Below are 14,284 nucleotides of genomic sequence, written 5' to 3'. Positions count from 1 at the left end.
GAACTCAAGTGATCCACCTGCCTCAGCCTCCCAAAGTGATGGGATTTCAGGTGTGAGCCACACCATTAGCTCCTTAAACAATTCAAATAAAATTTCTTTTCTAGTTCCTTATTGAATACAGTGTATATTTACTCAATAAAAAGTATCAATCTCAATTTAGGCTATTTTCCTGATGGTGAAAGATATTTAGTTTGGGGCCAGGCATGGTGGCTTATGCCTGTAATCTCAGCACTTTGGGAGGCCGAGGCAGGTAGATCATGAGGTCAGGAGTTCAAGACCAGCCTGGCCAACGTGGTGAAACCCTGTCTCTACTAAAAAAAATACAAAAATTAGCCGGGTGCGATGGCAGACACCTGTAATCCCCACTACTTGGGAGGCTGAGGCAGGAGAATCACTTGAACCCGGGTGGCAGAGGTTGCAGGGAGCCAAGATCGCTCCACTGCACTCCAGCCTGGGCAACAGAGCAAGACTCCGTCTCAAAAAAAAAAAAAAAAAAAAAAAGATATTTAGTTTGGCAAGATTCCAAAACTTTCTCTCTTGGTGACACTCTCAGAGGGGAGTCACAAAGCCATCTACCTAGGAGATATAACTGTCCCCCAAATAATGTAAATAAAAATGCTGTCTTTAGGAGGCTGAGGTGGGCGGATCACCTGAGGTCAGGAGTTCGAGACCAGCCTGGCCAACATGGTGAAACCCTGTCTCTACTAAAAATATAAAAATTAGCTGGGCATGATGGTGGGTGCCTGTAATCCAAGCTACTCGGGAGGCTGAGGCAGAAGAATTGCTTGAACCCAGGAGACGGAGTTTGCAGTGAGCTGACATGGTGCCGCTGCACTCCAGCCTGGGTGACAGAGTGAGACTCTGTCTCAAAAAAAAAAAAATGCTCTTACGTGTACCATATTTTGCATTTTATACACTGCTTTCACATAGAATATCTACTCTGATATTCTTAAATATCTGCTGTGAGGTAGCATGAGTCCTGTTTCATGGATGAAGTAACTAGGGCTCAGAGATGTAAAGCCACTCACCCCAAGTCAGTGCAGCTAGTGGGAAACAGAGCCTGAGGCTGGAAAGCAAGTCCATCTGTCCCCCACACCCACGCTGCCTTTTGAATAGTTACAGCTACCAAACGAGAAAGGAAATAGAATGTCAGGTACCTTTCTGCGTCCTGGTCTGTGCTCTGCTGATTGTTCTTAAAGGTGTTGAAGCTGCTCATGTCCACATAGCCATCATTTTAGTTTGCTGTGGACAGGGCTCTGCTCTGATCTTCAAACAGCTTCCTGAACACACCAGCCCTGCAGGCCTCCAGGGCAGAATCTGGATATTCTCATAGTCTGAGTTCATGGTTGGAATGTTCTCATAGTCTGAATGGTCAGCGCTGGGGAAGGAGATAGATAGTGGCTTGGCCAGTGGCAAGGGCAGAAAGGGCGGTCAGGGGCGGTCTTTGAAAGACTCCACTCTGGACACCATCCTGCTGAAGGAGACACCTTTCCTCTTGCCATCTCTATAAAAGATGTGGGATGAGGGGTATTCAGAAGCCTGGAGCGTCCCAGTTTGAGACTTAAGCTGAGGGGAGTTATTGAGGCTTCTCTGGTTGACTTTCCTGGAAGGCCTGTGGCAGCTGGATTCTGAAGAGGGACCTGGAGGAAGACAGCTTCACATGCAATTTACTCTCCGTCTTCTTTTTTTTTTGAGATGGAGTCTCACTCTTGTTGCCCAGGCTGGAGTGCAATGGCACAATCTCGGCTCACTGCAACCTCCGCCTCCCAGGTTCAAGCAATTCTCCTGTTTCAGCCTCCCAAGTAGCTGGGATTACAGGTGCACACCACCATGCCTGGCTAATTTTTGTATTTTTATTAGAGACGGGGTTTCACTATGTTGACCAGGCTGCTCTCGAACTCCTGACCTTCGGTGATCTGCTCGCCTCAGCTTCCCAAAGTGCTGGGATGACAGGCATGAGCCATCGTGCCTGGCCTCTCCATCTTGTTAAACATCAGCGCCAGGAACCGCTTAAAGGATGACTTCTTCTTCTTGTACTTGTCCGGGGAGTCGCTGTCGATCAGGAGAGAGGGAGAGCTCTTTGTGATGGGCTTCTTGGTGATGCAGGCCAGGTCGAAAGGAGGTGGGATGTCGACCATGGAAGAAGGCGTGGAGGTGCCGCTGGATGGAAGGTGGTTTCTCTGGGAGAAACTCCCAGACACGACAGAGAGATGTTCCTCTTTCCTCTTTATCCTGTGGTCATCTAACCCCGACCCTTCTGGCTCCCAGTACACAGAGATGGAAACAGGAATCTCTTGGCCTTCCACGGAGAACGACCGAGGGTATAAAGTGAAGGCCCTGGGCTTTGCTGGCAAGGCCCTGCTGGCTTCCAGGGGCCTCCCTTCAGTGACAACAGCTCTTTCCTGCCTCCTCTGCGGCACCTCCGATGCCAGGGGCTGAGGAACCTGCCTCAGATCTGGTTTCTTTGGGGGCAGTTTCTGGGACGGTTTCTGGCCACCTTCCCAGAGTGGGGCCAGGCCCTTGTGTCGATGTTCTTCCTGTCCACGGAGACCAGGCTGCCCTCTCCTTCACAGTTCATTTCTTCTTCTGAGCCATAACCACCCAGGGCATCCAATGCAGCCTGCCCTCCTTCTCAAGGGGCTGCCAGACCGGCAGGCCCACTCCCATCACATAGGGGTTGGCCAGTGTGTCATCAACAACCTCCTCCTCCTCTTCCCCCTCCTCCTCCCGGGAGGCTCACTCCCATCACATAGAGGCTGGCCAGCATGTCATCCATGGCTTCCTCCTCCTTCTCCTCCCCTCCTCCTCTCCTCCTCCTGGCAGTCCCACTCCCATCACATAGGGGTTGGCCAGTGTGTCATCCACAGCCTCCTCCTCCTCTTCCCCCTCCTCCTCCCAGCAGGCCCACTCCCATCACATAGAGGCTGGCCAGCGTGTCATCCACGACCTCCTCCTCCTCCTCCTCCTCCCCTCCTCTTCCTGGCAGGCCCACTCCCATCACATAGGGGTTGGCCAGTGTGTCATCCACGAACTCCTCCTCCTCCTCCTCCCCCTCATCCTCCCAGCAGGCCCACTCCCATCACATAGGGGTTGGCCAGCATGTCATCCACAATGACCTCCTCCTTCTCCTCCTCCTTCGGCAGGACCACCACATCAGGGGCTGTGGGACCCTCCGCCACTCCATCTTGCAAGGGTCCATGCTGGCCACACAAAGCCCCAACCACGGGGTCCTCCTCCGCACACAGCCCCAACTTTGGTGCCTGCTCTGATTCTAAGCTTTTCACTGACTCAGAAAAAGGAGAACAGCTCTCCCTGCAAAAAGAGGTGCTCTTGGTTGGGAAGAACTCGTAGGGGCTTCCTGTGAGGGAAGTCACAAAGTTGTCCATGCAGTTGTTCTGGAAAAGGACGATCTGGCAGCTCTCCTCAGCAGGCTCATCCTGTGTGCGGTCCTCCAGGGTGGCAGCTGCCACTTTCTGGTTGCTTTTCTCCTCATGGTCAGGTAGTTCACCAAGGTCAACCTGCTCCCCACCTATGACACCTGTGGCCTCTTCACATCCCTCCTCAAGAACCTCAGGGCTGTTCATGGCCGTCTCTGCCTCCGGACCCCGGCCAGTTCCTCCTTCTCAGGGGCCTCCTCGCTGGCTTCCTCAGCATCCTCTCCCATGTCCTCAGTGGGCCTGTCAGGATCCGAACCCTCATGTGCCCCGCTGGGTCTGTCCTGGCACAGCCTTCCTCATCATCCTCCTCTGCCTCCCCAGGGTTGTCGGGGGGCTTGTGGTCCTCTCCATGGATGTGAGGCAGGAGGAGGTCGCTCTGGAAGACCACCTCTCCAGCCCAAGGCCTGCCATTGTCCAGGCTGCACTCCCTGTGTGGCTGCACCAGCTTCTCTTCCTCCTCACTTCTGGACACCTGCTCTTCTGTCCCTGGCTCATCCGCAGCCCTCTCCTTGGTCCTCAGGAGTGAGGTCTGTGCCTTCTTCACCCTCCCTGCTCAGCAATACTGCAGCTGGGGCAGCAATAGCCGCCGAGTCCTTACCAGCTCCTGTCCTCTCCAGGCCACATGCCTCGCCTCCCTCCTCACGCTCCTCTTCCTCTTCTGCAGAGGCCTCGGGAGACACCAGGGCTGCATTCCCCACACTGCCCCCGTCCTTGGGTTCGTCCTCCCTCAGCGGAGCCCTGAGGACGATGTAATCCTCGTCGGTCTCTGACTCAGAGCACTTTGGGACGGACCGGGGCCCCTCATCAAGCCCCCTGTCTACACAGAGCAGCCGTCCGTTGCTGCATTTGTTCAAGCTGTCATTCAGGTACACACTGGCTCTCCACTCGTTTGGGGCAGTCAGCCTGGGCTTGGGGGCAATGGGGGGGCTTCAGACCCGTGAACATGGAGTTTGGACTGTGAAGACTCTCGAGCCTGGCTGAGGAAGGGAATTTGGGTGCGGTCACTGGCGTCAGTGGACTGGTAGTCTTTGGCTTGGGAGCGACAGGTGGTTTTGGCAAATCTAGAGGACAAAAATAAAGAAAAGGAGAAAAAGTACGATTAACTTTATTTCCATTCAGAGTCTCCTACACACCACTTGCAGGGGACGCTGCAGATAGTTCCGTCCGTCCATGTGAAGCCCACCTCCCGTGCTTTGTCTTAGGCTTATGCCCTCCACCAGAATCTTTAAAACCCCTTGATTTTCCACTAAAGATTCATTCTGTAAACAAAGTGAACAGACCTTTCTTCTACACGCAGCCCAACTAATGAAAATCAACCAAATGAAATCCTGTGCTCCTCAAATGAAGTGTCCAGGTCAGTGCATTCATTCATCCAGCAGCTACTGATAAACACTTTCTATGACCCAGCAACCATGGGAAAAGGCTGAACTTGCTGTCACCCTCCCTGCTGCCCTCATGGAGCTTACATCCCCCCTTCTACAGCTACTCCATTGGGTACCCACTAGCTACACGCACAGCACTGCAGATGGCAGGGTCTCCTAGGGTCAAGAGAAGACAGCCTCTGCTGAGAACTCACCGTTGAGTTAGAATAACTGGAGGGTAGAGCCGGGGACCCTTGGAGTACTATGACTGAATAGCTGCCATCTCATCCCTTCACGAATGACACGCCAAAGGTTTGAAACAGTGATGTGTGTTTCTGCTGGGGGTCATGTCTGGAATCTGCATGCTTCAGGATTGTGTCCAGCCAAGCCTCAGTCAGGTGGGGCCCCTGAGAAGGGAGCGAGGCCTGTCTGTGACGTCTGGGAGTGGAGGGCAAGGGTCTGGGGACCCGACCAAGTCGCTTTTGCGAAAGGGACGTCTTTCTCCGTTGTGGAAGGGACCCTCACTCTGGGGACCGCCGTGAGAGTGGGATATGGGCTCACACGGCCAGGGCGCGGCCTCGCCAAGGCTGAGGCGGGTCCCTGAGGCGGGGCGATTTGGACGGTGGGGGGGACCCCGATTCTCGGCGAGGGGACCCCGGAGCCGCGCATGCTTCGGCCAAGGCCGAGCAGCACGGGAAGGTCGGGGAATCCTGGGAAGCTCGTCCCGGGCGCCCCGGGAGCTCCAACTTATGGCGCGCGTGCCTCGGCGCCGCCGGAAGTCGCGTGGGCGGCGGCCGGGGCAGCGCGCGGCTTCGCTTCCGCTCCGGACTCAGGGCTCCGCGCCGGAACCCTGCGCTCTGGCCGCCGCGCCTTCGCCTGCGCCTCTGCTTGCGCCGCATCCGCACCTCCGTTCTCTCCTAGACATTTCCTCCGCGCCACAAGAGGAAAGATTTTGTTTTTGTTTTTGTTTTCCTGCTGGGTCAGGGATCCAGGAAGCCGAGGGTCGGGGCGTCCCTGCGCACATTTAAAGGGGCCGTGGCCATGGGCACGGCAGGAGGCTCGTGAGGTTTGAGGGACCAGAGCTCAAGCGAGTTGGGCTTCTGGGATGTTCCTGGCTCCTTCACCCAGCGGACCATCTATCCCTTTATTTTTAACTCTGGACATTCGTTCAGTGCCGCGCCAGCCTCTGCGCTGAGCACAGAACAAGACAGCCCCAAATTATTGCCCTCATGGAGCTTAGACGGGAGGAAGTCGCTGGAGACACCATTTCAAAGCGAGGGAGGGAAACCAGGGCAATGGAGCTGAGCGGTGGCTCTCAGAGGGCGCCACGCATTCTTGGGGCCCTCCCTAGCCTCCCTGAATCAGAAACCCCGTGTTTTATCAAACCCTCCAGGTTTGAGAACCACTGGAATAGAGAATGGGTGGTCAAGGAAGGCCTCCCTGAGGAGGTGACATTGGTAAGGGAGACCCAGTTAATGAGGAGCCTTTCCTGATCCACTCAGTACACACCGCGTAGCCCCTCACAGATACCTGCCTGGTGCTCGGCTACATAGATGACTCAGACCAAGCCTCCACCTCCCAGGAGTTCCCAGTCTGCTTGACCACACAGACACAGGCAGATAGTTCTGCTACTCTGAGGCTCGTGCTGGGATGGGAACGCACAGGCGCCTGTGGGAGCTCAGAGGAGGACCCCAGTGCGGAGGGTTCAACCAGAGGAGAGGCCTTCCCAGTAGGAGGAATTGCTGGGGCAAAGACTTCACCGAGGTGGGAGAAGGCCTGGCCTGCTGGAGGAGTGTCCAGGGCTTTGGCTTGGCAGAGGTGGTGCTGGAGGCAGATCTGATTTCTCCAGCTGTAAAATTAGGAACTGAATTTGATCCTTTCAAAGACCTTTCCATTTCTAAGCCACCACAGATCCCTTAATCCTCCAGTCTTTTGTGGAGAAATACTTGTGACTCGAATAGAAAATCTGTGGCTGAATTTGGTGTTACTTAGACAGGCTCTTGATATATTTTATGGGTCCATGCATGGAGGTGTGGCAGGGATGGAGATGGAGGTGATGGTGGAGGTGGTAGAGGTGGCGAAGGTGGCAGTAGCAGAAACAGGTGGTGGAGGTGGTGTTGGAGGTGAAGGAGGCAGAGGTGGTAGTAGAAACTAGTGGTGGTGGAGAGGTCGAGGTGGTGGTGGTGGAGGTCGAAAGGGTAATTGACGTAGTTGTGGAAGTTGTGGTGCAGCTGGAGGACATAGTATATTCGGTGGAAGAACTGGAAGTGGTAGAATTGATAGATGATGTAGACATGGTGGAACTGAAAGAGGCGAAGGAGATGGTGGACATGGAACAGGTGATGGAGTGGATTGAGTTGATGGAGGTGGTATAGATGACAGAGCCAAGGGAGGTGATGGAGGTGGTAGAGATGGTGGAGTTGAGGGAGGTGGTGGAGTTGAGCGAGGTGGTGGAGGTGATAGAGGCAGTCGAGTGATGGAGGTGGGACAAGTGATGGAGTGGATTAAGTTGATGGAGGTAGTATAGGTGATGGAGTCAAGGGAGGTGGTGGAAAGGATTGAGTTGATGGAGGTAGTGTAGGTAATGGAGTCAAGGGAGGTGACGGAGGTCATGGAGCAGGTATATCTGTGTTTAACTGTGGGTACAAATGAGTGAGTAGATAAATTGCTTCAATGTTTGATGGAAAAAGAAAGCATGTTTTTAAAACTTGAGCTTGTTTCTGAGATTAGCAATAAAAGCAAAATATCCTAGAACTCCCAGGGTGGGAGCAGGTGAGGGAGACTCAGATAATTCAGTTCACCACCAGTGTTACTCTTCGCTGTCGGCCCTTGCAAAGGAGAAGGGAGGACAACAGGGACAAGGCTTGCTAAGCCCTTTCCACTACTGTTGAATTTGGGCTTTGATGCTAAGCAGAGTCTGCTTAAAAAGATCATAGCACCAAGGCCAGCTGGGAAAATGACAGGTCTGAGCTTGTGTAGCTGAAGCCATACAATAGTGTGGAGTGATGGGCTGTGAAGTTGAAATGCTTATTCCTTTGTTTGCTGTTCCTAATAAGAGAAAATGGATGGGAGAGACTGTTGGCTTTACAAACACCCACTGCCAATACTGGTGGTTGTATTTATGGGACTGAGCCACAGCCACTCACTGAATTCAGGGGGAGTAACTGTAAATACCCACAAAAGACATGATGTGTGGGGGTGATGACCATCATCGCTACTTTCTTGAGCCTTTAACATATATATTCATCCCAAGAATTGTATAAAGGAGTTATTATATACCCATTTCACAGATGGAAAAACCCGAGGCCCAGAGAGGGGAAGTGACTTGCCCTTATAGCCCAGCCAGGACTCGCATCCCATTCACCCATTTACTACTCTGTGAATGCTTGCAGTCCATGGCTTTGCCTTTTGGGGGCAAGAGCCTCTCTGCACTTTTCTGGAGGAGCCTGGAAGGTGGAGGACAGGAACTTCTAAGGCAGATGCCAGCAGTGTTAACATCTGAGCAGGCTTTCCCTCTCTCCCCCTTTCTTTTTGCTCTTTCCATCCTGCCCTCTATCTACTTTGGACGATCAGAAGGCCAGCAGCTGCCAGCAACCTTGTGGTGAAAACCCAGCAGGAGTGTTGGAATTGGGGGTCAAGGGGACCATCACCATCCAAGGACCAGCCAGGTGTCCACCACAGAGCCTGCTGGGTATGTGACAGAGCTGTGCCCATGCCCAGGTTTGATCCCAGAAGTTGGGATCAAAGGAACCTGGACATCCAGTGCATCAGCCAGGTGAGGAGGCAGGTAGTGGCACTAATAACAGGCAGTCATAGCAATGACAGTAATAAATGCTGACAGTGGATGCCTGGGGAGCACCTGTTCTGTGCTCCACCCTTTCCATACATCTCATGACATATGGAGGCTGGGCAGGGTCAGCTCAGAGTTTTTATCACTGGGTGGGATTTTTATCACTGGGTGGGATTCAAGGTCTGTGGAGGAAGTGGCCACCTTCTTCTTCCAGGCAGCCATTTTTTTTCCTTGCCCTGGCTTGTTTGGCTTTTTCCCAAGGCTGCATTTCAAAACAGCCCCTCCTGGCTGGCGGGGTGTGGGCACAGCTCTGTCACACACCCAGCAGCAGGGGCAGCTGGCCCTAGGCTTCCTGCCCCTCTCTGGGCCACGTGGATTGGAGGAAAACCCCTCAAGCCTTCTTCAAAATAGGGAACTGCTCTCCCTGCTTCCTGAAGGACAAGAACTATCCCCATGGCAACCAAGGGATGAAGAGGCCACATTAACCCTTCTGAGGGCAGGCCTGGTTGAGAGCCTCTTCACCAACCCCTCCTGGGTGTGGCACTATACAGGCGACAAGGGGAGTCACATCTCCCAAAGGACATCCCCCAGTCTCACCACCATTCCAAGAGAAAGGCAAGGCTGAGATGTTATACACATTGGATGAAGGGCAACGTTGAGGTGAACTCAGAGGGACGGACAGTACAAGGACTTCGGATTTTATTCTCCTAACAATGCAGAGCCGTAGAGGAGGTAAAGCAGGTGAGGGACAGATTCTTTTTTAAAAAAAATTAATTTATTTTTAAATTACACTTTTAAGTTCTGTGGTACATGTGCAGAATGTGCAGGTTTGTTACATAGGTACACACGTGCCATGGTGGTTTGCTGCACCCATGAACCTGTCACCTACATTAGGTATTTCTCCTACTGCTCTCCCTCCCCTAACCCCCCACCCCACAACAGGCCCTGGTGTATGATGTTCCTCTTCCTGTGTACATGTGTTCTCATTGTTTAACTCCCACTTATGAGCGAGAACCTGCAGTGTTTGGTTTTCTGCTCTTGTGTTAGTTTGCTGAGAATGATGGTTTCCAGTTTTATCCATGTCCCTGCAAAGGACATGAACTCATCCTTTTTTATGGCTGCATAGTATTCCATATGTGCCACATTTTCTTTATCCATTCTATCATTGATGAGCATCTGGGTTGGTTCCAAGTCTTTGCTATTGTGAATAGTGCCAAAATAAACATATGTGTGTGTTGTCTTTATAGTAGAATGATTTATAATCCTTTGGGTATATACCCAGTAATGGGATTGCTGGGTCAAATGGTGTTTCTGGTTCTAGATCCTCGAGGAATTGCCACACTGTCTTCCACAATGGTTGAACTAATTTACACTCCCATTAACAGTGTAAAAGCTTTCCTATTTCTCCACATCATCCCCAGCATCTGTTGTTTTCTGACTTTTTAATGATATTCTAACTCATATTTTGAAAGTTTTCCTTCTGGCCGTGGGCGCTGGTGGGATTTAGTGCAGAGTGACAGGGTCTTGGGACTCTGAAAGGTGTTTTTTTCTGGGGGACTTTGCCCTGTGAACCCTGGAGAGATCTGAGTCATGGGGAGAGGTAGTCATTTGTTGTTGTGGAGGGCGGAGGAGGATGGAGACTCTGTGAAGCATTGGTGTTAATTCTTCATTAAATATTTGACACAGTTTATCAGTGATGAATCCTTCTGGTTTGGGGTTTTCTATGTGGGGAGTTTTTTGATTACCAAACGCATCTCTTTATTTGTTGTATTTCTATTCAGACTCTCTATTTTATTAACAGCTTTGTTGGTTTATAAGTGACAAAATTAAAGTATACATACTAAAAGCACACACATTGATAAATATCAGCATGTGGACCACATGTGAGGCAGAAACCACAGCCACCCCAAAGCCTCCCTGTGCCTTTTTATTATCCCAGCTCCCTGCATCTTCATGGCTCCAAGGTCCATCTTCAGACACTCGCTCATCTCTGTTTTGTCATTTGGAGTTTGAAACTCAAAGCTCCAGTTTTATGTATATGGTTTGAATTAGATCCTTGTGTTATCTCAGTAGTTATAGGGTTAAATTGTCTATTGTATACTTCTTAGTAACATGTTTCAAAGTAAATAGGCTTAACAGAAAAAGCATAACCCCATATGATTAAATGAACCTAGAAAGCATATCCCCTATGATGGGATTAATCATTTTAAAAAGGATATGCTCATCTTAAGAGACATTATGCATTACTGAATAATTAGGGATTTATTGTCCTTCTCCCACATGGATGTTCAGACTTTGATCATTCATTTTTCAGTACTGACTAGCACTGAAGGACTGATGGTGGCATAGCCATTGTCCACCAGCATCTGGACTCGATGACGGACTGGATCACTGTTCCACACCAGTCCTGAGCAGGAGGCGACAACACAGTCCAAAACATACACAATCACAAAGCAACTCACGAGCAGAAGAATGGTCTGCGTGGCCATTTTTTCTGGGGGTGCTTTTGGAGAAAGGTTGGTGCTGTGAAAATGCTGGGACTGCCTGTTACGCCTGGACAAGAGAATCACCATGTATCCACTGGAGGGGGGCCGTGAGCCCTGCAAGGGAGACATCCTGAAATGTCATCAGTGTGAAAATTGTCTGCTCAAGGAAGCAACTCAGGATCCCAGCAGAGCAGGATTGAGTGACAAATGTAAGGCTATTTGAGGCCAGATTTTTGATGGGAAGAGTGGAGACTAAGAAGCTGTCACTAATGGATATGTGGAAGACCCATAGGAAGAGAAAGCAACGTGGTTGGTGATGTGAGAATCTTTGAACACTGCCAAACAGGAGCTTCTGGGGCTGCAGGTGATGGCCGGGAGGATACTCAGCAGGCAGGTGGTGGAAATGGAGAGGCCTCTCATCAACCTGTACCTGTAGATAACTGACTTATGTTTGATGTCATCCTCTGAATCCTGAGACCCAAAAATATCTGTAGCTATGAACTCTGTGGGTAGCAGCAATATGATATGGATTAGAGCCACATGACAAACGATCAGGTCAGCGGGCTTGGTCCTGTGCTTGAGAAGGCACGTGAGGATGTGGAAGAGAAGGAGCATGGCATTGGCAGAGATCCCAATGCCGACTTCAGAGAAAGCAGCATTTCTTATGGCTATGAAACTGGAAGGTTTGTTGTTTTTATTCATCTTATGGGGAAAATAAGCACATAGTGAATGTCTAAGAAGAAAAGCAAGAAAAATTCTTTATTACAAATATTACCACTTCTTTCAATCTCAACCAACATTATTGCCATCATCAAAATACATGAATTAATCCTGATCCAACTTTTCCCCCTTCAGTACTGGACCCCCTCTTCACACCCTCCTGGAAGCCATCCCCACCCTCTCTCTTCTCCCATGACTATGCCATCATGGCTGGACTATGATTCCCATTGCTGGGCTTCCACATTACTTCCATAGTATAACTCCCTATTATTGGGAAGCCATTTTCTTATTTTTACCATAGTTCTACTTCTTCATAGGCAGGAGCAATGAGTTGTTTCCATTTGTATTTGCAGAAACCTGGTAAAGTTCCAGGTACAGTACACAGGAAGAGCTCTACTATTTTTGCTGAATTCAATTCAGGAGAATTTCATGGACATAGAAATGAGACCCCCTCATACAATGAGTATCAATGGTATAGCCATGTATACAGTTATATTATCTCAGTGCTATCTTTATTTTGGTTTCTTTATTGCCAGGCAAATACTTTTTTTTTTTTTTGAGACAGGGTCTCACTAACTCTGTTGCCCAGGCTAGAGTGCAGTGTTGTATGTGATCAAGGCTCATCGCAACCTGCAACCTTCTCCTTCTGGGCTCAGGTAATCATTCCACATCAGCCTCCTGAGTATCTGAGTATGATTAAATACTCTTAATCATAAGAGATTAGATGTTGGTAAGTGTGGACTCTGAAGTCAAATGCCTTGAACTAAAACCCCAAACTGACATTTACTAAATGTGTGATCTACAATTGTCACCTATACATCTAAACCCTGATTATCTCACCTATAAATACAAAGGACCATGTTACTTCTAGAGATGTTATGTATTAGTCTGTTCTCATACTGCTATAAAGAACTGCCTGAGACTGGGTAATTTATAAAAGAAAGAGGTTTAATTGACTCACAGTTCTGCAGGGCTAGGGATGCCTCAGAAAACTTACAGTCATGTCAGAAAGAGAAGCAAACACTTCCTTTTTCACACAGCGGCATCAAGGAGAAGTGCTGACCAAAAGGGTGAAAAGCCCCTTATAAAACTATCAGATCTCATAAGAATTCAGTCACTATCTCAAGAACAGCGTGTGGGTAACTGCCCCCATGATTAAATTACCTCCAACTGGGTCCCTCCCATGACACATGGGGATTATGGGAACTACAATTCAAGGTGAGATTTGGGTGGGGACACAGAGCCAACTCATATCATTCTGCCCCTGGCCCCTCCAAAATCTCATGTCCTCACATTTCAAAACACAATCATGCCCTTCCAACAGTCCCAGCAAGTCTTAACTCATTCCAGCATTAACCCAAAAGTCCAAGTCCAAAGTCTCATCTGAGATGAGGCAAGTCCCTTCCACCTATGAGCCTTTAAAATCAAAAGCAAGTTAGTTACTTTCTAGATACAATGCAGGTACAGGAATTGGGTAAATACACCCATTCCAAATGGGAGAAATTGGCCAAAACCAAAGGGCCAAGGCCCCAAGTAAGTCTGAAATCCAGCAGGGCAGCCAAATCTTAAAGCTCTGAAATGATCTCTTTTGACTCCATGTCTCATATCCAGGGCATGCTGATGTAAGAGATAGGCTCCCATGGCCTTGGGCAGCTCAACTCCTGTAGCTTTGCAGGGTAAAGCTCCCCTCCCAGCTGCTTTCATGGGCTGGTGTTGAGCGTCTGCAGCTTTTCCAGGTGCATAGCACAAGCTGTTAGTGGATCTATCATTCTGGGGTCTGGAGGATGGTGGCCCTCTTCTCACAGCTCCACCAGGCAGTGCCCCAGTGGGGACTCTGTCTGGGGGCTCCAACCCCACATTTTCCTTTCCCATTGCCCTAGCAGAGGTTCTCCATGTGGGCTCCACCCCTGCAGCAAACTTCTGACTTGACATCCAGGCATTTCCGTACATCCCCTGAAATCTACATGGAGGTTCTGAAACCTCAATTCTAGACTTATGTGCATGTGCAGTCCCAACACCATGTGTAAGCCACCAAAGCTTGGGGCTTGCACCCTCTGAAGCAATGGCCTGAGCTGTGTGTTGGCCCCTTTTAGCCATGGCTGGGATGCCGGGCACCAACTCCTGAGACTGCACAAAGCAGCAAGCCCTGGGCCAGGCCCATGAAGCCATTATTTCTGGCTAGGCTTCTGGGTCTGTGATGGGAGGGGCTGCTGTGAAGACCTCTGACATGCACTGGAGACATTTTCCCCATTGTCTTGGCAATTAACATTTCACTCCACATTACTTACGAGAATTTTTGCAGCTGGCTTGAATTTCTCCTCAGAAAATGGGTTTTTCTTTTCTATTGTATCATCTGGCTACAAATTTTCCAAACTTTTATGCTCTGCTTCCCTTTTAAATATAAGTTCCAATTCCAAACCATATCTTTGTGACTACATAAAAGTGAATGCTTTTAACAGCACCAAGTCACCTCTCAAACACTTTGCTGCT

General features: G+C 50.0%; 3 pseudogenes across 2 annotated transcripts in view, besides 3 other annotated features; all 3 read right to left on the bottom strand.

Moving 5' to 3' along the window:
* TPRXL (tetrapeptide repeat homeobox like (pseudogene)) overlaps positions 1-1,330 on the bottom strand; it is a 128,678-nt pseudogene extending 127,348 nt beyond the window's left edge. Inside the window, exon 1 of the transcript NR_002223.3 lies at positions 1,158-1,330. The product of NR_002223.3 is annotated as a tetrapeptide repeat homeobox like (pseudogene) (transcript). The remainder of the gene's footprint in view (positions 1-1,157) is intronic.
* Positions 1,331-1,692: 362 nt separating this feature from the next.
* FGD5P1 (FYVE, RhoGEF and PH domain containing 5 pseudogene 1) lies at positions 1,693-5,581 on the bottom strand (annotated as a pseudogene). Its single transcript, NR_036481.2, has 2 exons — positions 5,014-5,581; positions 1,693-4,498 (listed from the first exon to the last, which is right to left on the bottom strand). The product of NR_036481.2 is annotated as an FYVE, RhoGEF and PH domain containing 5 pseudogene 1 (transcript).
* Positions 3,425-3,925: an enhancer, noted in NCBI's record as "H3K4me1 hESC enhancer chr3:13976209-13976709 (GRCh37/hg19 assembly coordinates)". NCBI's record gives its function as "activates a minimal SCP1, AML or CMV promoter by ChIP-STARR-seq in naive H9 embryonic stem cells {active_cell/tissue: H9 hESC(naive)}" and the evidence as "EXISTENCE:reporter gene assay evidence [ECO:0000049][PMID:30033119]".
* Positions 3,926-4,426: an enhancer, noted in NCBI's record as "H3K4me1 hESC enhancer chr3:13975708-13976208 (GRCh37/hg19 assembly coordinates)". NCBI's record gives its function as "activates a minimal SCP1, AML or CMV promoter by ChIP-STARR-seq in naive H9 embryonic stem cells {active_cell/tissue: H9 hESC(naive)}" and the evidence as "EXISTENCE:reporter gene assay evidence [ECO:0000049][PMID:30033119]".
* Positions 9,154-9,354: a silencer, noted in NCBI's record as "peak4544 fragment used in MPRA reporter construct". NCBI's record gives its function as "represses an SCP1 promoter by STARR-seq MPRAs in K562 erythroleukemia cells {active_cell/tissue: K562}" and the evidence as "EXISTENCE:reporter gene assay evidence [ECO:0000049][PMID:32103011]".
* Positions 10,877-11,776, bottom strand: VN1R20P (vomeronasal 1 receptor 20 pseudogene; annotated as a pseudogene).

This window comes from Homo sapiens, chromosome 3 (assembly GCF_000001405.40).
Source record: "Homo sapiens chromosome 3, GRCh38.p14 Primary Assembly".
Taxonomy (NCBI): domain Eukaryota; kingdom Metazoa; phylum Chordata; class Mammalia; order Primates; family Hominidae; genus Homo; species Homo sapiens.
This window is presented reverse-complemented; position numbering and strand designations above follow the sequence as displayed.